The following is a 27560-nucleotide window of genomic DNA, read 5'->3' as shown; positions in this document are numbered from 1 at the left end:
ACAAAAAGTAAAACAATTAGCCAGGTGTGGTGGCATGCACCTGTGGCCCCGGTGACTCGAGAGGCTAAGCTGGGAGGATCACTTGAGCCAGGGAGGTCAAGGCTGCAGTAAGCTGTGATTGTGCCACTGCACTCCAGCCTAGGCAACAGACTGAGACCCTGTCTCAAAAAAAAAAAAAAAAAAAAAAAAAAAAAAAGCATCTGTTCTATAGTACTATTCCTAGAACCTAAAAACTGACATCTTATGTGTATTGATGAAAAACTTGGTGGGATCACCAAATGCTAAGAAAATGTTGTTTGTAATCAACAGTCCACAAAGACCCAAATTCCCGGTCATAGAACCAACTTTCCCCAAAAGTTTTGTGGGGTGGCTGCATTCCTACCATTCTCCTGCTTTGTTGGCAAAGCCCTGGTCTCTGTTCATCTCCAGCTGCTGTGCCATGCAACTCTTGGTTGACCTCTGAGCCCAGTAGTTTTCAACCTTGGCTATAGTTTAGAATTGCCTGGGGAGCTTTTAAAAACCTCATAATCTGGCCACCACCCAGACCAATTAGATAAGAATCTCTGGAATGTGGGGCATAAGCATGAGTATTTTTTAAAACCCCTCAGGTGATTTCTATACTTTTGAAAGAGGGCAAGTTTCTATTTCGCGTGCCGGTAGGAACATAGGAAGAGGTATGTATTCGTCTGCTCAGGCTGCTGTATCAAAATACCACAGACTTGGTGGCTTAAACAGCAGAAACTGGGCTGGGCGCGGTGGCTCACACCTGTAATCCCAGCACTTTGGGAGGCCGAAGCGGGCAGATCACGAGGTCAAGAGATCGAGACCATCTTGGCCAACATGGTGAAACCTCGTCTCTACTAAAAATACAAAAAATTAGATGGGCGTGGTGGCGCCCTGTAGTCCCATCTACTCGGGAGGCTGAGGCAGGAGGATCGCTTGAACCTGGGAGGCAGAGGTTGCCGTGAGCCGAGATCATGCCACTGTACCCCAGCCTGACGACAGAGCGAGACTCCATCTCAAAAAAAAAAAAAAAAAAAAAACAAAACAGAAATTGATATTCTCACAGTTCTGGAGGCTGGATGTCCAAGATCAAGCTGCTGCCAGCCTGGTTGCTTTCCTCTGAAGCCTCTCTCTCTCCTTGGCTTACAGATGGCCTCTCTCTTGCTGCCTCTTCACATGGTTGTCTCTCTGTTGTCTCTCTTTGTAACCTCATCTCCTCTTCTTATAAGGACACCAGTCAGATTGGATGAGAGCCCACTTCAACAGCCTCGTTTTAACTTAATTCCCTCTTTAAAGGCCATGTGTTTCCAAATACAGTCACATTCTGAGGTACTAGGGGTTAAAGCTTCCACATATGAATTTTGAGGGGGCACCATTTAGCTCATAACAAGGGAGATCATGGTTCCTCTAATAATCTTCACACTTTTTTTTTTTTTTTGAGACGGAGTTTCGCTCTTGTTGCCCAGTCTGGAGTGCAGTGGCGCGATCTCAGCTCACTGCATCCTCTGCCTCCTGGATTCAAGCGATTCTCCTGCCTCAGTCTCCCGAGTAGCTGGGGCTACAGGCGCCCACCACCACACCTGGCTACTTTTTGTATTTTTAGTAGAGACGGGATTCTCCATGTTGGTCAGGCTGGTCTCGAACTCCTGACCTCAAGTGATCCACCTGCCTCGGCTTCCCAAAGTGTTGGGATTACAGGCATGAGCCACCACGCCCAGCCAATCTTCACACTTGTGTTATCTTAACCTGTTGTTTTTGATAGCCAAAGCCATGGGCCATTAGAAATGTGGCTGCCTGCATCAGGGATAGAAGACTAGAGTTCAGCAGGCCAGTCCAGGTTCTACTTTCGTGAAACCATTCTCCCAATATCAACTACTGCTTCTCTTAGCACTAACACTGGGACAGTTCTGCTTTGCCTCCAAAAAACTCTGAAGTGGATCAGAGTAGGACATTAATTAAATTAACTCCAAGTTCCCTGCTGCATCCCAGGCTGTAAAAGCTATCCCTGTTGTATTTCCCATCCTGAATTATGCCCAGCCACATTTTCCAATGGAGTTCACCAGAAGTTGCATGTTCAGCCCAAATGATAGCATTAAAATGTTCCAAATAATATATAAATGTCCAAATTTGAACAATACAAAGTCTCTCCACTTATGAAAATCTTGGGAGAAAGATTAATTCCAAAATGCCAGAGAAATTTAAATCCAAAACTATTTCCTCCCCGATTTCTGTTTCTGCTCAGTCTCAGCTAGAAGGATCTTGCTCTGAGGTGTGGAGAGATTGGAGGTTCCTTCGGCTACTGCAACCTGGGCTCTCATCCACTGAAATCGGTGAAGTTCCTGTAGGACCTTCAAGACAAAATTAATCCAGTGTCAAGATTCTCATATGTCCCACTTTCTAAGAGTTCAAAGAGTTAATTGGGCACATAAGATTTTCCCAGCATCAATGACACATGCACAAAATTTAGAAGAAAACAACGCAAAAAAGCAATCAGACAAATCTCGTAAGTGGAACAGTCTGCAGAACTATTGGCTTGGTATCTTCAGCAAAGTGGTATCATTAAAAACTGGTGTCTGTTCTAGATTAAAAGAGACTTAAGGGACATAAACCAGATGCAATGCATGGTCTGGATTGGGTACTGATTTGGATGAAACAACTGTATAGGACATTTTTAGGTCATTTGGGAAAATATGAATAGAAGCAGGGTGTTAGAAGGGTTGGAAATGTACTGAAATAGCAAAAGGGAGGTTAATGATTGAAAAAAACAGACTGAAGAACATTATGTGTAGTATGATCTCAGTTTGGTAATAAAATAAAAGCATGCATAGACACACATGAACAGATCCTGTAGGTTATACACTAAGGTCTTACAGTGGTGATCTCTGGGAGGTGGAAATTTTACTTATTTATTTATTATATTTCTGCTTCTCTATATTTTCTAATTTTCTACAATGCATATATACTGCTTCTGTATTAATAAAAGGTTAATCAAAGAAAAAAATTCTTGGAGGCCGGACATGGCGGCTGACACCTGTAATCCCAGCACTTTGGAAGTCCAAGGCAAGAGGATCCCTTGAGGCCAGGACTAGGCAACATAATGAGACCCCATCTCTACAAAAAATTGAAAAAATTAGCCAGACATGGTGGCTTGCACCTGTAGTCCCAGCTACTCAGGAGGCTGAGGCAAGAGGATCGCTTTAACCCAGGAGTTTGAGGCTGCAGTATGATCGTGCCACTGCATTCCAGCCTGGGTGACAGAGTGAGACTCCACTTCAAAAAAGAAATTTTTAAATTCTTAGAAGTCACAAGCAGGGCCAGGCGCACTGGATCACACCTGTAATCCCAGCACTTTGGGAGGCCGAGGCAGGGGGATCACTTGAACTCTGGAGTTTGAGACCAGCCTGGGCAACATGGCAAAACCCTGTCTCTACAAAAAAATACAAAATTAGTCCGGCGTGGTGGCACACGTCTGTAGTCCCAGCTACTCAGGAGAGGCTGAGGTGGGAGGATTGCTTGAACCCAGGAGGTACAGGCTGCAGTGAGTTGTGATCGCCACTGCACTCCAGCCTGGGCAACAGAGGGAGACCCTGTCTCAAAAAAAAAAAAAAAGTAACAAGCAAACCTCAACCCCAAAGCAGTTATTATAAGTAAAATTATGGTACTAGAAACCAGTACATAAAATACTGTACTGGTATATCAGACCCACATTGCTGACAGAAAGCAAAGCTTATAGCAGAGACAATGATCTCTGGGGGAAAGAAGAATAAACATAGCAAACGTGAGAGCAAAAAACAACCTGCCTTGCTTTCAGCTTCAACAGGAGACAAGTTAAATTGTGCTAGTTGTCTAGGGTCCACAATCTCTTAAGCTTAAACTCTGCTGAGATTTATCTAGAGACTAATTATGGCACTTGGTTTACCAAACGGGAGTAGGGTGGAGTTCCATGCATGTTTACTGTTTCCTCCCTCAGAAGGTGACATTTGCGACATTCCTGTGTTCTTGAAAAGTTAGATTTTCCTGGGGTGACACCCATAGTCCTCAGGCCATCCTCAAGGCTTCCTTCTTCAAAATCCAGGCTATTTGGCCAGGCGCGGTGGCTCACACCTGTAATCCCAGCACTTTGGGAAGCCGAGGCGGGCGGATCATGAGGTCGGGAGTTCGAGACCAGCCTGGCCAATATGGTGAAACCCCATCTCTACTAAAAATACAAAAATTAGCCGGGTGTGGTGGCGTGTGCCTGTAGTCTCAGCTACTAGGGAGGCTAAGGCAGAAGAATCGCTTGAACCCAGCGGCTGGAAGTTGCAGTGAGCCGAGATCGCACCACTGCACTCCAGCCTGGGTGACACAGCAAGACTCCGTATTAAAAAAAAAAAAAAAAAAAAAAAAAAAATCCAGGCTATTTAAAACCTCTTAAATCCCCATTTTGAACCTGTGCTTCTGGCATCTCAGCATAGCCCTGAGGCTGCACTCAGTTTGGTGACACAGCTTTTCCACACTCTCCTGTGAGCAGCCACCTCCTTTTCGAATAGTCATGGCTCCGAGTGTGATTCAGACCCTTGCTGTATTAGTTTACTGTTGCTGCCATAACAGATTACCACAAACTTAGTGGCTTAAAACATGCATCTATTATGTTACAGGTCTGTAGGTCAGAAGTCCCACGCAGGTCTCACTGGGCTATAATTAAGGTGGGCTTCTTCTGTGAACAAAAGTTCTCTGAAAAGGAATTTAGAGGAAAGAGACTTTAGTCCAGTGAACAGTTTGCAAACCTGGGTCACAGCCTCCAGTGTAAAATGAAGGTGCATTCCAGAGAACAAAAGGAAAGCTTATTTTGTTGTTGTTGTTTGCTTGCATGTTCGTTTTTCAGAGACACAGTTGCCCAGGCTGGAGTGCAGTGGTGTGATCATAGCTCACCGTAACCTGGAATCCCTGGGCTCAAGTGATCCTCCCACTTCAGCCTCCCATGTAGCTGGGACTACAAAGGAATGCCACCATGCTCCAGTTTCATAGTAAAAATTCCTGCCCAAGTTCCCAATAAGGCCTGTTTATGCCAACGAAAGATTGAAAGTCAGTTCTCATTGGTTGAGGCAGCTGAGTTCTGATTGGTCAATACAGCCAAGCCCTGATTGGTTGATACAGCTGAGCCCTGATTGGCTAAGGCAAGTGAGCTCTGATTGGCTGGTTCTGATGAGTTCTGAACGTCCCGAAGTTAAAAGATGTGAGCTTCCGGTCGTGGTGGCTCACACCTATAATCCCAGCACTTTGGGAGGCCGAGGTGGGTGGATCACCTGAGGTCAGTTTGAGATCAGCCTGGCCAACATGGTGAAACCCCATCTCTACTGAAAATACAAAAATTAGCTGGGCATGGTAGTGCATGCCTTTAATCCCAGCTACTCAGGAGGCTGAGACAGGAGAATTGCTTGAACCCGGGAGGTGGAGGTTGCAGTGAGCCAAGATCACACCACTGCACTCCAGCCTGGGCAACAGAGTGAGACTCCGTCTCTAAATAAATAAATAAATAAATGTATGACATATTTTACAATGATGCTCTTGGTCTTTCCTTCATAAATCTGTTCAAATTTTATGTACCACTTTATATGATGGTATGTAGTAGTTTCCTATTGTGAAAGCCCACCTCTACTAAAAATACAAAAATTAGCCAGTTAGCCAAGCATGGTGGCAGGCGCCTGTAATCCCAGCTACTTGGGAGGCTGAGGCAGAAGACTTGCTTGAACCCAGGAGGCAGAGGTTGCAGTGAGAGGAGATGGTGACACTGCACTCCAGCCTGGGCAACAGAGCAAGACTTTGTCTTAAAAAGAAAAAAAAAAGATGTGAGCTTTCTGGAAACTCTGAGTATATGTGGGACCTCTAGTCAGCAATGACTGCAATGGCTCTATTTTAAATTTAGGCCCAGTTAGCCACTTGGGTTCCATCTTGAAAAATTGGCTCTTCCAGGTTCACAGTTCATAGCTTCTTTCTGGAGTCACTAGGGGAGAATACCCTTTGTGTTCATTTGGGCTTTTTGGGAGAATTCAGTTCTTTGCGGATGTTGAACCAAGGTCACCATTTTCTTCCTGCCTATAAACTGAGGTCACCTACATTCCTCGGCTTGTGGCCCCTCCTCCATCTTCAAAGTCAGCAACCATAGAGTCAGTCCTTCTCATGTGATTTCTCAAGTGATCCACTCTTCTTCCATCATCTTCTACTTTTAAAGACTTGTATGATTACGCTGGGTTCACCCAGGATAATCTCCCCATCTCAAGGTCCTTAACCTTAATCACATCTGCAGATTCTCTTTGGCTATGTAAAGTAATATATTCACAAATTCCAGGGATTAGTACATAACCATCTTTGGGGGATTGTCATTGCATTCTGGGCACATCATCTTTTCTTGGTCTGGGATTGGCATTTCTTCACATCTAGTTTTGTGCCTCAGTGGTTACTGCCACTGTCTCTTGCTCTGGAATTCCTTGATTACATAAAGCCTGCCTCTTAGTGGTGGTTTCCCCTCTACTTCCAATATATTTTATGTGACAAATTGCCTTCAGTGGACTCCTAAAATGACATTCAGAAGCTTGTGCCCTTTGGTCCTGGGGAGGAAAAATTTATCTGCCTTGGGCTTGCCGCCCTTGCAAAAAGCCTTCGAATTTTCTAGGCCTTAAGTGGAACTTCAACAACAGCAGTAACAGTTCTTTCTGTCCACTCTTGTAGCTCCCTTTCTCCTTTGGAGCAGGCTCAGCTGAAGTTTCCTCTTTCTTTTTAATTGTGAGAAATGTGAAAACTACAGAAAAAGTACAAGAATATTATAATAAAAACCCATATTCCCATCTCCCAGAATTGTAGACATCTTGTCATATTTGCTTTCTGCAATTAAAAAAATCTTAGAAATCTAGCTAAAATTTTGTTTAGCTACCACCTGCATTGCCATGCTCGTCTGAGGCAACTGCTATGGTCTGGAGTGTAGTCTCATCCATTTTTATACTTTACAAACATCCATCCATCCATAAACTATGTATAGTATTTTTGTGCATATCCATTTACATAATTGTATCTTTTTTTTATTCAACGGCATGCTTTTGAGACCTGTCCATATTGCTATATGTAGATCTAGCACCACTTCAGTGCAGTGTTCCATTGTATGACATCATCAGATTTTATTTTTTCACAACATTTTGACAAATTGCTCTCTAAAGTGGTTGAACCAGTTGATATTTCTACCAGCAGTGTAGGAGTATGCTTATTTCCCCACATTCTTCCCAATGCTTTGGGGAGATCTTTTTTTTCTTTTCTTTTTTTTTTTGAGATGGAGTTTTGCTCTTATTGCCCAGGCTGAAGTGCAATGGCGCGATCTCGGCTCACTGCAACCTCTGCCTCCCGGATTCCAGCGATTCTCCCGCCTCAGCCTCCCGAGTAGCTGGGATTGCATGCATGCGCCACCACGTCCGGCTAAGTTTGTATTTTTAGTAGAGACGGGGTTTCTCCATGTTGGTCAGGCTGGTCTCGAACTCCCAGCCTCAGGTGATCTGCCCACCCCAGCCTCCCAAAGTGCTGGGATGACAGGCATGAGCCACTGCCCCCGGCCGCTTGGGGGAGATTTTAAATATTTGTCTGTCTAATGGGTAAGAAATTACACCTCGTTTTTGTTTTAATGTTCATGTGTGAAGTGTTGCTCACTCTAGGTTGATTTCCTGACACATGTAGGGCCTCAGCTCCTCTGTCTAAGCAGGAACTGAAACTCCAGCCCCTATAGCCGGTGTCAGTTCTGGCTTCTTCATCTGCACACATATCTATCTCTCCTTTATAGGTTCTCATTCTGTTTCTGACCCCTGGAGATCTCCTTTTTTTTGTTTTCAAGCACAGCTGTTTATTTTTTAACCTTAAAAATATTTTATAAAAAGATGGGACAAATTCCAACTGTTCCAAAAAACTGTTCCAAATTCAAACAAAAACACATAACGAAATGCACTGCATGAACCTTAACTGGATCCTGGTTTTTTAAAAAAGCTATGAAGACATTGGGGAACAATTAGGGAAAGCAAAATATGATCTAGATGATGTTATTAGACTACATTAAAATATTGTTAGAATATTGTTCATATACTTAGTTGTGATAAAGGTTTTATAGTTATACAGGAGAACAACCTTTGAAGATACACACTGAAGTACTTAGGAGTGATGTAGTCAACTCACTTTCAGATGGTTCAAAAAATTAGATAGATAGACAGATAGGTAGAGCTAATAGAGCACAATGTTAACAGTTGTTGAAATTGAGTGATGGGACCGGGTGCTGTGGCTCACGACTGTAATCCCAGCACTTTGGGAGGATCACCTGAGGTGACCCCAGCACTCAGGCGGATCACCTGAGGTTAGGAGTGGAAGACCAGACTGGCCAACATGGCGAAACCCTGTCTCTACTAAAAATACAGAAACTGGCCGGGCATGGTGGTGTGCACTTGTAATCTCGGCTACTTGGACTGAGGCAGGGGAATCGCTTGAACCCAGGAGGCGGAGATTGCAGTGAGCCAAGATCGCACCACTGCACTCCAGCCTGGGCAACAGAGCGAGACTCCGTCTCAAAGAAAAAAAAAAAAAGAAGCAATTGAGTGATGGGCATGATGATATTCATTGTACTAGTTTGAACTTTTCCATATATTCCAGATTTTTCACAATAAAAAGTTGGGAACATTTACACAAGATTTCTAGGTATTTGAAACAGGGCTGATAGCAGGTTTTAGCAAATGCTCAAATCACTATATATTTTTTTTGAGACAAGGACTGGCTTTGTCAACCAGGCTGGAGTGTAGTGGCACAATCACAGCTCACTGCAGCCTCAACCTCCCGTGCTTAAGTGATCCTCCCACCTCAGCCTCTCCAATAGCTGGGATTACAGGCATGCTTAGAGACAAGATTTCACCATGTTGCCCAAGCTGGTCTCAAACTCCTGGGCTCAAGCAATCCTCTCGCCTCCGCCTCTCAAAGTGCTGGGATTACAGGCATGAGGCACCGTGCCGGCCTCAAATCACCATCTTGAGCCAGATGCTCAGCTAAGGTGTTTGTTTTAGACAGGATCTTACTCTGTCACCCAGGCTGGAGTGCAGTAGCACAATCACAGCTCATGCAGCCTCGAACTACTCTGGGACTCAAGCCATCCTCCCACCTCAGCCTCTCCCCAAGTAGCTGGGACTACAGGTGTGCACCACCATGCCCGGCTAATTTTTTAATTTTTTGTAGAGACAAGGCCTCACTATCTTGCTCTGGCTGGTCTTAAACCCCTGGGCTCAAGTGATCCTCCTGCCTCAGCCTCCCAAAGTGCTAGGATTATAGGCATGAGCCACCATGCCTGGCCTCAGCTAAATTTTCAACATTTTAATCTGCTCCTTGGGTTGGTCACCTTTCCTTGCCTAACATGTACATGGCTATGTTAGTTAGGATATAGGTCCAGCTTCTTGTAACAGTAACACAAATGAACAGAAGCTTAAATACAACAGAACTTTATTTCCCTCAGATGTAACAGACCAGAAGACAGTACAAGGCTAGTGTAGTTCCATGAGGCTATCCATTCATTTACTCTTTTCGTCATCGCTAGAATGATGCTCCCATCGTATGCTACAAAATAGCTCACAATTTTAGTTAACAGGATGAAGAAGGGAAGGAAAGAGGATCCACCTTTCACTGTAAGGGCTCAACCCAAAATATATGAGTACACATCTTTTCCAGTCTCATCTCATTGACTAATATTTAATCATAATTAGCTGCAATGGAGAATGGGAAATGCAATGTTTAGCTGAGGATGCATACACATTTCTAAAATGATAATAACTTTAAAGGAAAGTGAGAACAGATATTAGAAGACAATTAGCAGTGTCTGACATTATGGCCACTCCTTTCTCAATCACTGTGTTTTCTTTCCTTTCTTCTTTAATTTTTCTTTCACATGCAACCATTTGTTTTCCTAACAAACTCTTTGTGACTTGGAGGTTCATCATTAGTAAAAGATATGCAGTCAAGAAATTTTGGATCTGGCAAAAGCATCCACTGTTCAACAATTCTTATCTACTTTCACCTTATTGGAATTGTATAATTCCACCAGGAGGTATTCTCTGACCAAAATCAATATATATTCCAGGTTTAACTCAGTCTATCATTAGCTTGCCTGATTCCCCTGTAGTATGTCTCATCTTCTGTGTTTCCTTCTCGTGGAGTTCTAACTCTACACATGTCCTGAGCATGTACCCACAAGGACATGCCATACCTGCTTCTCGGCCCATAAATGTGTTGCCTTGAAACTCATCTAAAATGCATGACAGGCCAGGAGCGGTGGTTCACGAGTGTGTAATCACACCGCTTTGGGAGGCCGAGGCAGGTGGATCACCTGAGGTCAGGAGTTTGAGACCAGCCTGGACAACATGGTGAAACCCCATCTCTACTAAAAATACAAAAATTAGCCAGGCGTGGTGGTGGGCGCCTCTAGTCCCAGCTACTCGGGAGGTTGAGGCAGGAGAATTGCTTGAACCTGGGAGGCGGAGTTTGCAGTGAGCCGAGATAGCGCCACTGCACTCCAGCCTGGGCAACAGAGTGAGACTCTGCCTGAAAAGAATAAAATCAAGTAATAAATAAAATGCATGATATATTTTACAATGATCCTCTTGGTCTTTCCTTCATAAATCTGTTCAAATTTTATGTACCCACTTTATATGATGGTATGCAGTAGTTTCCTATTGTTGTTAGAACAGACAACCAGAACTTACAGGCTTGAAAATACAAACTTGTTCTCCTACTGTTCTGTAGGTCAGAAGTCTGGATTGGCTCAACTGGTTTCTCTGCTCTGGGTTTCACAAGGCCATAATCAAGGTATCAGCCAGCTAGACTCTCTTATCAGGAGGCTATGGGAAGAATCTGCTTCCAAGATCATTCAGGTTATCAAAATCTAGCTCTTTATGTTGATAGAACTGAGGACCCTGTTTACTTGTTGGCTGTCAGCTGGGAGCCATTCTTGGCTCTCAGAGGCCTCTATCCCATCCTTGCACATGGCCCCTACATCTTATGCTTGGAATTTCTCTGACTTTTCCTTCTGCAATATCACTTTTGCTGCCAGCCAGAGCAGGTTCTCAGCTTTTAAGAGCTCATGCCAAAATGAGATTGGGCCTACCTGGGCAATCCAAGATAATCTCCCTATATTAAAGTTTGTACCTTAATTACATCTGCAAAGTCCCTTTTGTCATATTAATATATCATATTCACAGGTTGTAGGGATTAAAGTGTGAGCAGCTTGGGGTCGGGGAGGGGTGTGCATGGGGGCGGGGATGCATTTTTCTACCATGTGGTTTTTTTCTAATTGCTCTAAATTTATATGGACTCTTTAAGTGCACCTTTAGGAGGACACCACTCAATAGTATTGTAGATCTGGATTCCAACCAGTAGAGTAATTCCAGTGCTTTTTTTTCTTCTCTCCCTGTCTTTCCCCGGTCTCTTTGAGACCTAGATAACCTCTATGACCTAGTAACAAAATAGCTCCCTGTTTTCTAGTTACATCTTTAAGAACCTTTAGATCTTGGGTGTATCTTCTTTTTCCTTTCATCTCTGTCTAGCTTGTTCTCCAAGATCACATTTTCATAAGAATTGATTCCTAAGGATAAGAATTCCTAAGGATGAGAATTTTCCTTCTCCATCTTAAACAGTATATCTTCTTGTACTTTTTTTCTTTTATTGTCTCACTGCTCTTGTTCTGACAGTAAGACCAAAGCTTATTCTTACTTTTTCTGGTGATTTACTATGGGAAATTTCAAACATATACAAAATTAGAAAGAATACTATAACAAACCCATATGAATAGCATAATGAATCACTCAGCTTCAATAATTATCAACACTTTACACATTTTAATTCATCTATTCATGCATTTTTTGGAATATTTTAAAGTAAATCCCAGGACATCATGTTATTTCACTCACAAATAAATTGATATGAAGCATTATTTTGAAAGAAATTCAGTACCTTCTCGATTTTAGGAACAAACCATATTCCTAGAGAAGTTAGTCTTTAAAGGTTTTTGCTTGGCCTCTGGAATTTTAATAATTTCATGACTTGTTTCTCCACCTCAATACAAGATGATATATCCTTTGTATTATAAACACTCCCATTCCTCTAGCTGTAACTTGATAAAAATCACCTGCCTTCCTAGGTTAAACGCATTGTCTGGGTCTTTAAAATCCAAAGTCATGGTCATGGCTCCCGTAATTAATAAATCCAGAGCCACCCTGAGGCCATGCAGAGGTGGTGGTAGGGGGGTGAATCTAGGAATCTGTGAATGTGCCACAAAAATTCAAGAAGGCAGCCCCTTCATAGTTGTGTTTTTGTTGTTGTTGTTGTTTTGTTTGTTTGTTTTTGCTTGCCTCTTGAATGGGATGCAATTCAAAACAAGATAGAGGCCCGCATCGCCAAGTCAATCCTAAGCCAAAAGAACAAAGCTGGAGGCATCACACTACCTGACTTCAAATTATACTACAAGGCTACAGTAACCAAAACAGCATGGTACTGGTACCAAAACAGAGATATAGATCAATGGAACAGAACAGAGCCCTCAGAAATAATGCCACATATCTACAACTATCTGATCTTTGACAAACCTGAGAAAAACAAGAAATGGGGAAAGGATTCCCTATTTAATAAATGGTGCTGGGAAAACTGGCTAGCCATATGTAGAAAGCTGAAACTGGATCCCTTCCTTACACCTTATACAAAAATCAATTCAAGATGGATTAAAGACTTAAACATTAGACCTAAAACCATAAAAACCCTAGAAGAAAACCTAGGCATTACCATTCAGGACATAGGCATGGGCAAGGACTTCATGTCTAAAACACCAAAAGCAATGGCAACAAAAGCCAAAATTTACAAATGGGATCTAATTAAACTAAAGAGCTTCTGCACAGCAAAAGAAACCACCATCAGAGTGAACAGGCAACCTACAAAATGGGAGAAAATTTTCACAACCTACTCATCTGACAAAGGGCTAATATCCAGAATCTACAATGAACTCAAACAAATTTACAAGAAAAAAACAAACAACCCCATCAAAAAGTGGGCGAAGGACATGAACAGACACTTCTCAAAAGAAGACATTTATGCAGCCAAAAGACACATGAAAAAATGCTCATCATCACTGGCCATCAGAGAAATGCAAATCAAAACCACAATGAGATACCATCTCACACCAGTTAGAATGGCAATCATTAAAAAGTCAGGAAACAACAGGTGCTGGAGAGGATGTGGAGAAATGGGAACACTTTTACACTGTTGGTGGGACTGTAAACTCGTTCAACCATTGTGGAAGTCAGTGTGGCGATTCCTCAGGGATCTAGAACTGGAAATACCATTTGACCCAGCCATCCCATTCCTGGGTATATACCCAAAGGACTATAAATCATGCTGCTATAAAGACACATGCACCCGTATGTTTATTGCGGCATTATTCACGATAGCAAAGACTTGGAACCAACCCAAATGTCCAACAATGATAGACTGGATTAAGAAAATGTGGCACATATACACCATGGAATACTATGCAGCCATAAAAAATGATGAGTTCATGTCCTTTGTAGGGACATGGATGAAATTGGAAATCATCATTCTCAGTAAACTATCTCAAGAACAAAAAACCAAACACCGCATATTCTCACTCATAGGTGGGAACTGAACAATGAGATCACATGGACACAGGAAGGGGAATATCACACTCTGGGGACTGTTGTGGGGTGGGGGGAGGGGGGAGGGATAGCATCGGGAGATATACCTAATGCTAGATGACGAGTTAGTGGGTGCAGTGCACCAGCATGGCACATGTATACATATGTAACTAACCTGCACAATGTGCACATGTACCCTAAAACTTAAAGTATAACAAAAAAAATAATAAAAAACATTCCTCATAGAAGGTGGAATAATAAAAAAAAAAAAACAAGATAGAGGAACAGCACTGATAGAATGCCACCTACTAAAATGTAGAAGATACAATCTCACTCTAGTACTTTGTGGTTCACATGGAATTTGGCTACTTTTGCAGTTTAAAGTCCTGGCCTGTAATCCTGGCTGAGAAATAGAGGAAAGGGAGCAAATATTTTTCAGCCTTCTGATAGTGAAAAGTCTGATTATTGAAACTTTGTTTTGAGGCAAACCTTAGCCAAGGCTAAAATATTATTTTCCTGATACTCTTATCCATGCCTCAGCCACAAAAGCATGCACAGCCTGTTCTTACTTAGGGTTTGCATGGGCCTATCTGCTTTTAGATACCAGCTACGATTGCAAGGTCAAAAACCTTTGAGACTTATGTTTTCTAAGGCCACTGTCTATGAAAAGCAGTTATGTGCCTGCAGACACCAGTTATCATATAAACTTCTGTAAACTCCCAAAGTCAATGATGCACATGGCCAGTACTTTCTAGGGCCTGCCCTTATGAAAAAGAAAAAAAAACAGCCAGAACACCTTTGCATACCAGCCACTATACTGCTACAAAGAGAACTGCCTCCCTCAAATGCCAGTCATTGCATCCATTTCTCAAGGTTTCCCCATTCATACACCGTGGGATCCCTCCAAAGATCATATAATCACACCAGTCTCTCCCTCCACTGAATTCCTAATTGAGAAATAGACACAGGAATTAAAGAGGAATCAGAATATTGAGATGTATTGTTGTTAAGACTGGTTTGGAGAACAGGTCTGTGGCCTGTAGCCTGAATTAGGTTTCCAACTCGTTCATCCCAAACCTAGACTTTTGCACCCTCCTGAGGTGACAGATAGATCTGTACAGCAGACCCTCACCCCACCAGTCACAGAAAGGGTGCTCATCCACCTGCAGGCCTCCCTACCCTCGTAGGCTGACCACATGGAGGGGCAGAGAGAACATAGGTGTGCTGTGGGCAAGGGAACTCTGAAAAAGAGAGAGCAGGGAGCTCAGCAGGGGCTGAGCAACAAGCACTCAGTCCTATCTTGGAACCTCACCAATGAAGCCACTGTGGGGAGGAGGTGCGGAGGGGCTGCGGGAAGCTCTCTTCACAATACTTCTGAAAGAGCAGAAGTTCCTATTTCGTGGACAGGTGGGAATACAAGAATGGGGGATGTCAGCTAATTTATGGCTGCGGTCAAAGGGAAGAGCCCAGGGATGGGCCCCCTCCCCCAGAGGTCAGGGCTTTCTCTAGTGGCCAGCCTTACAGCCTTACATTCTTACTGTATGACTGAAACAAACTGGAACAGAAGAATAGGTAGAATTGGGTGTTCTGGTGCTCAGTAGAGAGAGTAGAACCGACTGGTTTTGCTCCATGAACACCTCTTAAGAGCCTTTGCCTAATTGCTGTGCCTATCTGGGAGGGAGAGAACTTTAGAGTTAATTTAAGCCCAGTTATTGTTTTTGTTTTTGTTGGCCTCAGATGGCAGAGGACATCAAGTCCAAATGCAAGGCAGAGCATGAAAGAGAGTTTAAAACACAACTTGCAAACTGGTAGCCTGCTGAATAGATCCAACCCACAGATGTGTTGGATTTAGCCCATAAGAATTTTCAAAAATATTTTGTAAATTACTTGTCAGTATATAAAAATTGGTAGAGTTCATATAAAGACCCAGATTTTATGGCTTCTCTGGAACAGTTCAAAGATTCTGGCTATGTGGATGTGCATTTCTATAGGGCAAAATAAGCTGGATGGAATAGCCACTGCTTCATTTAGGAGGGGGTACAGTTTCCATCCAGGCTCTTGTATGACCTGCTTAGCCCCTGCCTACGTTCGAGTTTGTGTTCTCTCAGTTAAATTGGCCAGCACTAGAGGTTGTTTGTGATCTGAAAGAAATGCAAATCATCCATCTCTGTGAGTGTCTAATCATGTCAGAGCGAGTATTTGGCAATGTGGAGAGTGCCAGGGAGGTGTATGCCAAGAATCTGACCATCCATCGGGAGGGGGAGGAATGAGGAGACATCTGTCTATATAATGAGGATGCAGAAATTGTTAAGAAAGGCAGGAGAAAAGGGGGCCACGGTCCATAGTGCAGAGAAGCAGGCTAGGCTGGAGCAGGTGACTGCGGGAGTCAATTACAGCCAAGTGTTGCTAGGGCAACTCAGGCTCCGCGCACAGCCTGGAGGGCCTCCGGCCTTCTCACTGCTAAGGCAGCTGATTTAGGAGGCCGGAACTCTGAAGTCTGAGAAGCTGATGAGGAAAAAGACAAGGTTGCAGAAGCATTGTTTTAGGTTGGGGCTAAAATCTTGAAGCAGACACAAAGGGAGCTACAACATCCCACACGGGGCTACTGGTGGTCATTCTAAAGGCCGCTGGAATTGGGAACCATTACATCTCACCCCTTTAGGGCAGTTCTTTCCAAACTGCAGGTCTTAAAGCATTGGTGGGCTGTGAAATCAATTTAGTGGAGTGAAATCAACATTTAACATAATGAATAGAAATATGAAAAAAAAAAGAAATAGTTTTTTTTTTCTTTAAACAGAGTGCATTACATAATAAAGGTAAATATTGTTTTGTGAAACACTGGCTTCAGATGTGTGTGTGTGTGTGTGTGTGTGTGTGTGTGTGTGTGTGTGTTTGCATGCACAGGTATATGTACTGAGTTGTGATGTCAAATATGGTATGTTTCTTATTCTGTAAATTTATCTCAAAAACCTTTGAAAGCCACTACCACAGGCCACAGAGTCAGTCACCATGGCTAGCTGACTGGATGGGCATGTCCAGTCGACTTATTTTCTCTTTATTTTTTGTTTTTGCTGTTGTTGTGAGCAAGATGGGCAGATGTAAACCAATCATAGCTTTCTAAGGAGCCACTGTCTGGTATCAGAAAAAAAAAAAAAAACCGCAGATAATGTTGAGCTTGCTGGGAAACAGGTTTTGGGGTGTGGCTTCTCAGACAGACACAATTGCTTGGGATTCTACACCCTGGGAGTGGTAGCACTACAGAAGAGCGTGCAAGTAAAGCCAAAAGGAGAGCCTGCTCCATGGTGCTGGTCCCAAATTCTGTTCTTGTGTGGAATTTTCCAGGATTTCTAGGAGCAATATCATCCCTACCATTTTCTGTATGGCCCACACTACTGATGTCCTACCCAATGGCCATCCTTCACTTTCTTCCTCCCTCATAGAGACCCCATTTTTGTTCTCACATAGGGCAACACTGTACATCAAGGGAGCAGGGATTCTCAAATGAAGACCTACAAAATACAAGCCCCAAATTTGTATTAGCTTCAAAAGACATAACAATTACTCAATTTGTTATACAAGTTTCTAAATGTGTATTCTCAACTTCTGTATTCAGCTTGTCACAGTCTGTTAACCAACAGTTTACAGACTAGCACCAGTCCAGGGACCACACAATGAGTGGCACTAGTCTGAGCTAACTAATCATGATAATTCTATTTCCCTTGCCAAATGATTGGTTTAGGCATGGGCGTGAGACACAATTTCTGGCCAATAAGAGGGGATATCTACTGGGGGCATAGGGAAAGTTTCTCTTGGTCTTAATAAAGGACACATAACAGTTATGTTCTTTCTTCCAGACTCTTAATGCTTTTGTATGGCCTTGGGATACCTGAGTACCTATGGATGTCTTGTAATCATAAGGTGAAGGACTAATAGGCTGAAGATAGTGGAACCAGATGGAAGGAAACTAGGTCCTTAGTGACATTGCTGGGCTGCTGAATTACTTGCCCTGGAATCCCTCTATAGCTGGACTTATGGGAAATAATAAAATACTGTGTGTTTGGCTTTGCTATTATTTGTAACTGAAAGAATTCTAATGATGCACCTTGTAGAACAAGACAGGGTTAACTGGATTGAGCACAGAGGCTTACCTGTACTAAGGATATTTTACAGTGAGCTTAGCATTCCCAGAAGAAATTGTAAGGGTAAAAACATGGTTAGATAAACCTAAAGTTGTGTACTGACCTACAAGACATAGCAGGTGTCATTCTAATTATAGCATCATTTCCTGTACTTTTATCAATACAGTAAATTTGACGTTTTGTGTATAGTTCCAAGAATTTTAACACATGCATAGATTAATGTAACCACCACCACAATCAGGATACAGAAAAGTTCTATCACCTCCAAAAACTTAATCTTATTATTGCTTTGAATTCGTATGCCTCCATGCCTAATCTCTGACCTGTTCTCTATCACTATAGTTTGTCTTCTGAAAAAATGTCATATAAATAAAAACATACAGGCCGGGTGTGGTGGTTCATGCCTGTTATCCCAGCAATTTGGGAGGCCGAAGGGGGCAGATTGTTTGAGGTCAGTAGTTTAAGACCAACCTGGCCAACATGGTGAAACCCTGTCTCTACTAAAAATACAAAAATTAGCCAGGCATGGTGGCACACGCCCGAGTCCCATCTACTCGGGAGGCTGAGGCACAAGAATCTCTTGAACCGGTAGGCAGAGGTTCCAGTGAGCCAATATCATGCCACTGCACTCCAGCCTGGGCAACAGAGCGAGACTCCATCTCAAAAAAAAAAAAAAAAATTAGCCTAGCGTGGTGGCGCGTGCCTGTAAGTCCCAGCTACTGGGGAGGCTGAGGCAGGAGAATCGCTTGAATCTGGGAGGCGGAGGTTGTAGTGAGCCGAGATTGTGCCATTGCACTCCAGCCTGGGCAACAAGAGTGAAAGTCCCTCTCAAAAAAAAAAAAAAAAAAAAAAAAAGAAAGTTCCAGATTTTCCCCTATGTTTTCTTATAGTTTTGTGATTTATATTCAGATCTATGCTCCATTTTGAGTTAATTTCTGTATAAGGTGTGAGGTTTTGATCAAGATTTGTATGAGTCCATTTATGCATTCTCTATTCTGTTATGTTAGTCTATATGTCTGTCTCTTCTCCAAAACCGTACTGTCTTGATTACTGCAGTTATGTGGTAAGTCTTAAAATCAGGTATAGCAGTGTGATTCCTCCAACTTTATTAATCTTTTCAAAATTGCTTTGGCTATTCTTGTTCTTTTGCCTTTCCATGTAAAGTTTAGAGTCGATATATATCCACAAAAGATCTTGCTGGGATTTTAATAGGAATTGCATGAAGCCTATAGATCAACTTAGAGAGAACTGACATCTCTAATATGTTAAGTGTTCTAGTCCCTGAATACGGTCTATCTCTCCATTTATTGAGGACTTCGGAGATTTCTTTCATCAGCATTTTGTAGTTTTCGGCATAAAGGTCCTGTACACGTTCTGTTAGATTTTTACCTAAGCATTTTATTTTTGGGGAGCTATTACAAATAGTATTGTTCATTGCTAGGATAAAGAAATGTGATTGATTTCTGTGTGTTGACTTTGTATCCTGCAACCTTGCTAAATTCATGTATTAGTTCTAGGGAAGTGTGTGTGTGTGTGTGTGTGTGTGTGCGTGCGCACGCTATTTGGGATTTTCTGTGTAGACAGTCATGCCATCTGTGAATACGGATGGCTTCATTTTCCTTTCCTCTTTTCTCCTCTCCCTTCCTAACTACCTAGAGTTAAGATACCTAGGTTGGACAACATATGAGGATGAGGGATAAGTAGAGTTGTAATACGTCATCTCCAAATTGTTCAAGTTGATTAACAGTCACTCTACAAGGAGATAAAAATATTATGTGCAGATCATGTGATTGTATACTATGAAAAATAAAAAGCAATACTAAAAATTTAAGAATAATAAATACTACAAAAATACCAAATACTTACTGAAGGCCAGGAACAGTTCTAATCATTGTACATAAATGAACTTATCCGGTAATCACAACCCTATGAGGTGGGTACTATTATCCCCATTTTACAGAAGAGGAAACTATGAATGGCAGAGCTGGGCTCAAATCCAGCTCCAGTGCTGGCACTCTTAACTATTACACAATGGAACAGAAGATTCTACAAATGCATCCCAAAATGTCAGGGAATTTAGTATTTGATAAAGGGGGCATTTTAAGTTAATGAGTGAAATGTCAACTATTCAATAATTATGAAGAACAATTGGATAGATTTTGAGAAAAAAATAAAGTTGGAATCCTACGTTTGTACTACACGCCAAAATAATACCCACATGAGACAAATATTGAAATGTAATATTCAAAACCATAAAGGCGTTAGAAGAAAACATAGATGAAGAGTTTTCTAGTCTTGAAGTGGGCAAAGCCTTTCAGAACACAGCACTTAAACCAGCTACTATAAATAAATGAAATGATAACAAATTTGATTATATAAAGGATGTTAAACTTGTATGTTCTAAGAAACAGCTTTATAAGGTTAAAACACAAACAAAAAAATGAAGAAAATATTTATGACAGGAAGACAAGAGTATTATCCGTGATATAAAAAGAGCTATTCCAACTCAACAACAAGACTATTCAACAAAAAACATGGGCAAAATGTACAAACAAGCTATACATTTAGAAGAAGAAGAATACAAATGGCCAAGAAACTAATTAAAAGATATTCAACCTCGCCAAAAATCAAAGATATGAAAATGAAAAGAATGACATATCACTTTGTAAGTATCAGATTACCAAAGAAAAAAATTAGTGAAAATGCACAGCTCTGGCAAGGGTATGGGGGCGGAAGGCACTCTCATACTTGGGTACTACAAATATAAATTCGCGTAATCTCTTTTGGAGGGCAATTTGGCAATATCTATCCAATTGTAAAATGTGCATTCCCTTTGCAGGAATTCAATTTCTATTTATTTATTTATCTTATAGGAGTACAAACATGTGTAAAGCTATTACTACAAGAATGTTTATTTCAGCACTCTCCATAATAATGAAAACTCAGTAACAATCCAAAGGAATATCTACCCTATGTGAATAATTTAAAACTAAGGAAAATATGTTATGTATTGGCGTGTTAAGGCACTCATAATCTGTTGTTACCTCTATTTATTTCTGAGTAGCCTCAGGGGATTTCTTATAGGACAACTGTTACTTAATTTGCACAGCTTTCTAACCTGTAAAATGGGCATAATCGCATCAAAAATATTTATCGAACAGATATAATTGCCAGGCACTATAATAGGTGCTGGTGTATGAGTAGGAAAAAAAACAGGCTTGGTCCCTGCCTCTGAGGAGCTCACTGTTCAGTGTAGAGGTGTGAGGTGTGTGTGTGTAGGGTGGTGAGGAACAGATATTAATCACACAACTGTACAATTGTTTTGGGTGGTTTGGGAGGAAAATAGCAGAGTACTATGAACGCGTATTACAGTGGACCTTGATCCAGTTTTGGCGGGGCGGCGGGGGTCAAGGAAGGCTTCCCTGAAGCAATATTTAATTTTTTTAAAAAAAGCAAGTGATGGGCCAGGCACTGTGTAAGTGCCAGCTCCAGAGATCAATTAAAAAGAATAAGGTAAACGTATAGACACTGACAGAAAGAATTTCAAGAATGCATTGTCAATAAGGCAAGTTGTAAAACTTAAATATATCTTTATTTCTCCTTTTTTGGTTTAAAAAATCTGCATTGTAATATAGGTGTAAATGTATATATAGAAAAAGTTCTGAAAGAATATACATCATGCCATTAACTCTATTCGAATAATTTGTGGATTTGTCTGATCTTCTGTAATCAGTTAAAAAAAAAGATATTTACATATACAAAAATGACAGCATGAATATTAGAAAAATTGGTATTCAGGCTGGGCACAGTGGCTCACACCTGTAATCCCAGCACTTTGGGAGGCTGAGGTGGGTGGATCACTTGAGGTTAGGAGTTCGAGATCATTCTGGCCAACATGGTGAAACCCCATCTCTACTAATAATACAAAAATTAGCCGGGTGTGGTGGCACATGGGCCTGTAATCCCAGCTACTAAGGAGGCCGAGGCAGGAGAATCGCTTGAACCAGGGAGGCAGAGGTTGCAGGGACCCGAGATTGCACCACTGTACTCCAGCCTGGGTGGCAGAGTGAAACTGTGTCCTGTGTCTCAAAAAAAAAAAGAAAGAAAGAAAGAAAAATAGTATTCAAGGAAAAAAAAAACTTTAAACAGGGTAAAGAGAGATACTGAAGAGTTTGAGGTGACAGTGAGCTATGATTGTGCCACTGCACTCTAGCTCTAGGCACCAGAGTGAGATCCTGTCTCTAAAAAAAGAAAAAAAGAGACTATCTACCAAGACTATCTTCTGTCATAAACATACATAGCAACCAATATTCCATTAAATGTATGAAGAAAACAGTTATAAAAGCACATAAATTGTACGCTATAAAGTTTTTAAAAATGCCTATGCAACTCTTGCCAAGATTGATCAGGTACTGAATCATAAAAGAAAGCACAATGCATTTCCAATAGTAGAAATAATAAAAGTCACATTAATGGAACACAGTGCAGTACAGCTAACCTCTAACCACAAAAACATCCAGATAAGAAAAAATTTGAGTCACCTCACAAAGAAAATACTTCTAAATATCTCATGGTCAAAGAAGAAATCAAACCTAAAATTATAAACTAGAAATTAATAAGAATGAGAGCACTTCATATGAAGTAAAACACTGAAAAAAATAAACTTAGAGAAAACTGGAGGAAGATATTAATAAACATTAAAGCTGAAAATAATAACTTAAGTAGAGAATGGGAAAAATGGTAGAACAGAAAAATAAATCTAAGAAATAGTTCTTTGAAAATATCAACAGAATAAACTCTGGAGAGTTTAGTTACATGAGAAAGAGAAATGCATACAAATAAGATGGCTTGATTGGTGGATAGATAAATGACATATATGTAGTAAAGTTATAACAAAACATGGTAAAATCAATGTGGTGGGTATACAGATGTAAAATTCTTTCAACGTCGTATGTTTGAAAACTTTCATAATAAAATAGATAAAAATCTCTTGGGGCACAGTGCGGTGGCTCACGCCTGAAACAACACTTTGGGAGGCTGAGGCAGATTGGAGAGGATTGCTTGAGCCCAGGAGTTTGGGACAAGGCTGGGCAACATAGTGAGACCTCATCTTGTTCCCCACTCCCCCCTCCCCCCCCAAAAAAAATTAGCCAGGCATGGTGGCTTGCACTTGTAATCCCAGCTATTCAGGATGCTGAGGCAAGAAGATCCCTTGAGCCCAGGAGATCGAGGCTGCAGTGAGCCATGATCATGCCACTGCACTCCAGCCTGGGAGACAGAGTGAGACTGTCTCAAAAAAAAAAAGAAAGAAAGAGAAAGAAAGAAAAGAAAGAGAGAGAGAGAGGAAAGAAAGAAAGAAAGAAAGAAAGAAAGAAAGAAAGAAAGAAAGAAAGAAAGAAAGAAAGAAAGAAAATACTCCTTAGCTAATAATCAGGGAAATGTAAATAATGAGACATTTTTCACCCATTATATTGGCAAAATATTAAAATGATTGGTTAATATCGAGTCCGGGTAAGAATTTAGGGAAATGCTAATTCTTACTCACTGCTAGTGGAGGTATAAACTGAAATAGTCGTTCTACGTGGCAATTTGTCATTTGACATTATGTATTAGAATTTCAAAATGTGCTATCTTTGGGCAGAGAATAGTGGCTCACGCCTGTAATCCAAGCACTTTGGTAAGCCGAGGCAGGAGGATCACTTGAGCCAAGGAGTTTGAGACCAGCCTGAGCAACGTAGTGATACCTCATCTCTACAAAAAATACAAAAATTAGCCAGGCGTGATAGCACACGCCTATAGTCCCAGTTACTCGAGGGAAGACTGAAGTGGGATGATTGCTTGAGGTGGGAGGATCGCTTGAGCCTTGGAGGTCAAGGCTGCAGTAAGCCCTAATCGCACCAGTGCACTCCAGCCTGGGTGACAGTGAGACACTATCTTAAAAAAAAAAAATGTGTGCTACCTTTATCCAACTATTTCATTTCTCCATGTTTATCTCACAGAAATATTTTAGCATCTGCAGAAAAAAGCATGTACAAGGAATTTTATTGCAGCATTGTTAACAGTAAAAAAAAAACCCCACTGTAATAGTCAAAGATTGAAAATAACATGTGTTTATCCATAGATGAATGATTACAGTATATTCATTCAATGGAATACTATGCAGTAGGTAAGATAAATGAGGTAGATTTATATATATTGACATGGAAAGATCTTCAAGCTACATTAAGTGAATAAAGCAATTAACATAACAATACATAAAAAGGATGCTATTTATTTTTTAAATGAAAAACAAAAACAAAGCCATGCTTTTCTATTTGTGTATATGAATGTAAGGGGAACTTTAAATTTATCCGTGTTTTACAATAATCATGTGTAATTAGGAAACCAATTTTAAAATGAAAAAAGAACAACCGAAGTTAATTACATGCTAAAGAAAGTATAGCTTCATGTTGCCACTAAATGTTACAGATGGGCCGGGTCTTTCGCCTGTAATCCCAGCGCTTTGGGAGGCCGAGGCGGGTGAACTGCTTGAGCCTAAGAGTTTGAGACCAGCCTGGCAACATAGTGAGACCCCGCCTCTACAAAAAATAAAAAGTTATCCAGGCGTGGTGGCGCATACCTGGAGGCCCAGCTACTTGGGAGACTGTAGGCAGGCAGGAGGATCCTTGAGCCCAGGAGGTCGAGGCTGCAGTGAGTCGTGACCGTGCCACTGCACTTCACCCTGGGTGACAGAGTGATGCTTTGTCTCAAAAAAAAAAAATTGTAAAAATATTCAATGAAACAGTGTATCTCGAAGGGGCCCTGTACATCTCCTGAGATCATATACAAAATTTTATGTGTAAGTATATATTGGGGTGGGGGACCCATTCATTAGATTCTCAATTCGAGGGATGAACCACTGCTCTGGAGGGCTGGAATTAGAGAAGTGGAGGGTATAATCACAGTTTTTATTTCCTCGATGTCTCAGGAGTTCTTTTAATAGTGCTTTTGTCTTTAAATACTAAATTAATACATACTTTTTATTAAAAATTGAAACCTTATCGAAGTAGCTAGAGTTCCAAGTCAAAGTTCTTCGCCCCTCCAATGTCGTCCGCAGCCCACAATAATTAAGTAGGGTTAACAGGTGATCTCCCACCAGGTCCTTTTTATTCCCATGTATTTACAGATGCAGATCCTCTACAGGATCCTTGTCAATCGCACTGCCGTTCCAAATAATTAAAGGAGGAAAAAAGAATGTTTATTGAGGGCTTACTATGTGCCTGAAGTGTTTTAAGGGTTTGCTCGCGTGAACTCTGGGTGGTCGGCTTCCCACGTCGTCTCCCACCCTCCGCTCTGGGTCCAGCCTTGCCCTCTTGCCCCACACTCCCCATTCTTCACAAGGCATCTGGCGAGGTCGTTAATTTTTAAAGGTAAATCAGATCAAATCATGTTCCCTTCCGCGGCTTCCACCGTGCCTCGAATCAAATCCCAATTCTTAGCGACCCTATCATCCTCTATGGTTGCATTTACTGGGCCTTGGGTAGCTCAGGCGCGGTCCCCTGCAAGGGACCCGACTTCACCGCGGAGGGAGCTCCCTCCCGAGGGGCAGGGGCGGGGCTTCGCTTGCGGTGGGTGGAGCCCCAAATCGAGTTTGAGCTGAGCCGAAGCGAGGAGGCTTTCGACTGAGGGCTAGCGAGGGGAGCAGGGCTGGAGCAGGGCTGGAGCAGGGCTGGAGCAGGGCTGAAGCAGGGCTGAAGCAGGGCCGCGGACCCCGCACGCTCCTGCGGGCCCCGCGGAGCCATTGCGGCCGAGGTGAGCGTCTATCCCTGGGCTGGAGGGCGAGCTCTGTACGCGCGGCCGTTCTCGGTTTCTCGCGGGTGGCAGTGGCGAGGTTGGGGGGGGAGTTCCCACGGGACCCTGCGCGGAGGCGCGGAGGTGGCGGCCTTGGGGAGCCTGCGGGAAAGGCTGCTGGAGGGGCAGGGCGGCCTGCCCCAACCCTCCCTGAACCCCGCCTCCTCTCCCCTCCCCCAGGCCTCGGCAGGCGCCAGCGGAGAGCTAGCCGCATCTTCGGGGGCAGCCCGGCAGCTGCCGGCGGCGCGGCGAGAGAGCGGCTGACAGAGGGGATGCGAGGTACCGGCATTAGCCATGGCCAAGTGGCCCTAAAGAGAGAGTAGAGGCCGGGCCTTCAGCGTTTCTCACTGGTTCGAGGAAGGCGGCCTCAGAGGAGAGGGAAGGTGAGGGGCGGGCAGGCAGGCTTCGCGGGTAACTACTAGGCGTTGCATATATATGTTTTGATATCTAAATGGTACTACACACACACACACATTCATTTCGACTAACTGCTTGTTTAAAAATCTGAGAATATGTCTTGTAGATCTTCTTATATCCGGGAATCCAAATTTATGTTGGGTTTTAAACAGCTGCATTGTATGATTGTACTACAGTTTATTTAACCATTTCCCGATTGATATACATTAGCTTGTTTCTCTGTTGGGGGAGGGAGGGGACTATTACAAGCAATGCCATAATGAATGGGTTTGTGTATATGTATCATGCCATGTATGAGTATTTCTGTAGGAGAAATTCTTAGAAGAGTAACCGCTGGGTCAGGGTGTATATGCATTTTGAATTTTGATAGATTTGTCCAAATTGCCTTCCCAAAAGCCTGTACTAATTTACACTCTTTAATGTTGTGCGAGAGTGCCTATTTTTCCACAGTTATGCCAACACGTATTATCAATCTTTGTAATTTTAGCCAATTTAAAGGGCAAAAAAATCGTATGTCATTGTTTTCATTTGCATTTCCCTGATTACTGGCGAAATTGATCATATTTTTGTTTGTAAATAGGCAAATATCAATAGTTTATATAGGCAGTTTTCCTATCTATAAGCAATAAGCATTTTGAAATTTTAATAATAAAAAACCTGTTCGCAATAGCAAGAGAAACGAATAAAAATACCTAGAAGTAAACTATAAAACTTTATTGACGAATACCATAAAAGAACATCTGCATGAAAAGAGAAGGAATACTATGCTTCTGAATAAGAAGGCTCAATATTTTAGTGATGTCCATTTTTCCTATATTGGTTTATACAGTTGATGCAATTTCAATAAATATACCAAGTTTTTTTGGAACTTACTATGATTCTAAAGTTCATCCGGGGGAAAAAAATGGCTAAGAATAACTGAAAAAAAATATTTTAAAACGTAAGTAAAGATAGGGATATTTGTACTACTGGCTATTAAAATGTACTCTAAAGGAACTATTTAAATTAGAACGGACAGAACAATGCATTAGAATGGAAAAGCCCACAAATCAAGCCAGATTGGATCCCAAGATTTATTGGAGAAACACTGTTGGCTAGACGTGGAAAAACTGCCATATTAAAAGCTTCAGGCATTTCCCCCCATCCCCGAAGCTTGAATATTCCTTTGAGGGCAGACTCCTTTGTTTGGAGAAAACCACTTTATTGGATCTTTTTGGTTATGCCAAGGTAAAGCTTCAGTAGTTAAAATTGGTGGCTTTGGAACTAGAACTAATGATATGGCCTTTAGTTAGATTAAGATGGATTCAGGTTAGCCTGCAGTGCGGCGAGGGAAGGAGTCTGGATAATGTAGGTTTAAAAATTTTTTTCCCTATCTAATGGGCAAAAAATGTTATGTCATTGTTTTCATTTGCATTTGTGTGCTTACTGTGAGATTGAACGTCTTTTAAATGTTAGTCCAGGATAATATGTTATTCCTGGAGACAGGTAA

The 27560-nt window shown here is 41.9% G+C and overlaps 1 protein-coding gene across 15 annotated transcripts in view, besides 4 other annotated features; it reads left to right on the top strand.

Moving 5' to 3' along the window:
- Positions 7455–7504: an enhancer, noted in NCBI's record as "active region_29664". NCBI's record gives its function as "activates an Ori minimal core promoter by ATAC-STARR-seq in GM12878 lymphoblastoid cells {active_cell/tissue: GM12878}" and the evidence as "EXISTENCE:reporter gene assay evidence [ECO:0000049][PMID:35858748]".
- Positions 25303–25477: a silencer, noted in NCBI's record as "fragment chrX:53713671-53713845 (GRCh37/hg19 assembly coordinates)". NCBI's record gives its function as "represses an EF-1alpha promoter that drives an FKBP-Casp9 reporter gene in an ReSE screen in K562 erythroleukemia cells {active_cell/tissue: K562}" and the evidence as "EXISTENCE:reporter gene assay evidence [ECO:0000049][PMID:32094911]".
- The window catches only part of HUWE1 (HECT, UBA and WWE domain containing E3 ubiquitin protein ligase 1), a 154624-nt gene continuing 152547 nt past the window's right edge, over positions 25484–27560 (top strand). For 9 of the 15 annotated variants that reach the window (NM_001441048.1, NM_001441051.1, XM_047441751.1 and 6 more), the window contains exons 1-2: positions 25484–25615; positions 25835–25933. The gene's annotated coding sequence lies outside the window, so the exon portion shown is untranslated. Of the gene's footprint in view, positions 25616–25834; positions 26038–27560 lie in introns of all 15 variants that reach the window. The other 6 variants (XM_047441736.1, XM_047441742.1, XM_047441732.1 and 3 more) reach the window with 1 other exon arrangement.
- Positions 25551–25850: a silencer, noted in NCBI's record as "silent region_20859". NCBI's record gives its function as "represses an Ori minimal core promoter by ATAC-STARR-seq in GM12878 lymphoblastoid cells {active_cell/tissue: GM12878}" and the evidence as "EXISTENCE:reporter gene assay evidence [ECO:0000049][PMID:35858748]".
- Positions 26061–26140: an enhancer, noted in NCBI's record as "active region_29663". NCBI's record gives its function as "activates an Ori minimal core promoter by ATAC-STARR-seq in GM12878 lymphoblastoid cells {active_cell/tissue: GM12878}" and the evidence as "EXISTENCE:reporter gene assay evidence [ECO:0000049][PMID:35858748]".

Source organism: Homo sapiens, chromosome X (genome assembly GCF_000001405.40).
Source record: "Homo sapiens chromosome X, GRCh38.p14 Primary Assembly".
Classification (NCBI taxonomy): Eukaryota; Metazoa; Chordata; class Mammalia; order Primates; family Hominidae; genus Homo; species Homo sapiens.
This window is presented reverse-complemented; position numbering and strand designations above follow the sequence as displayed.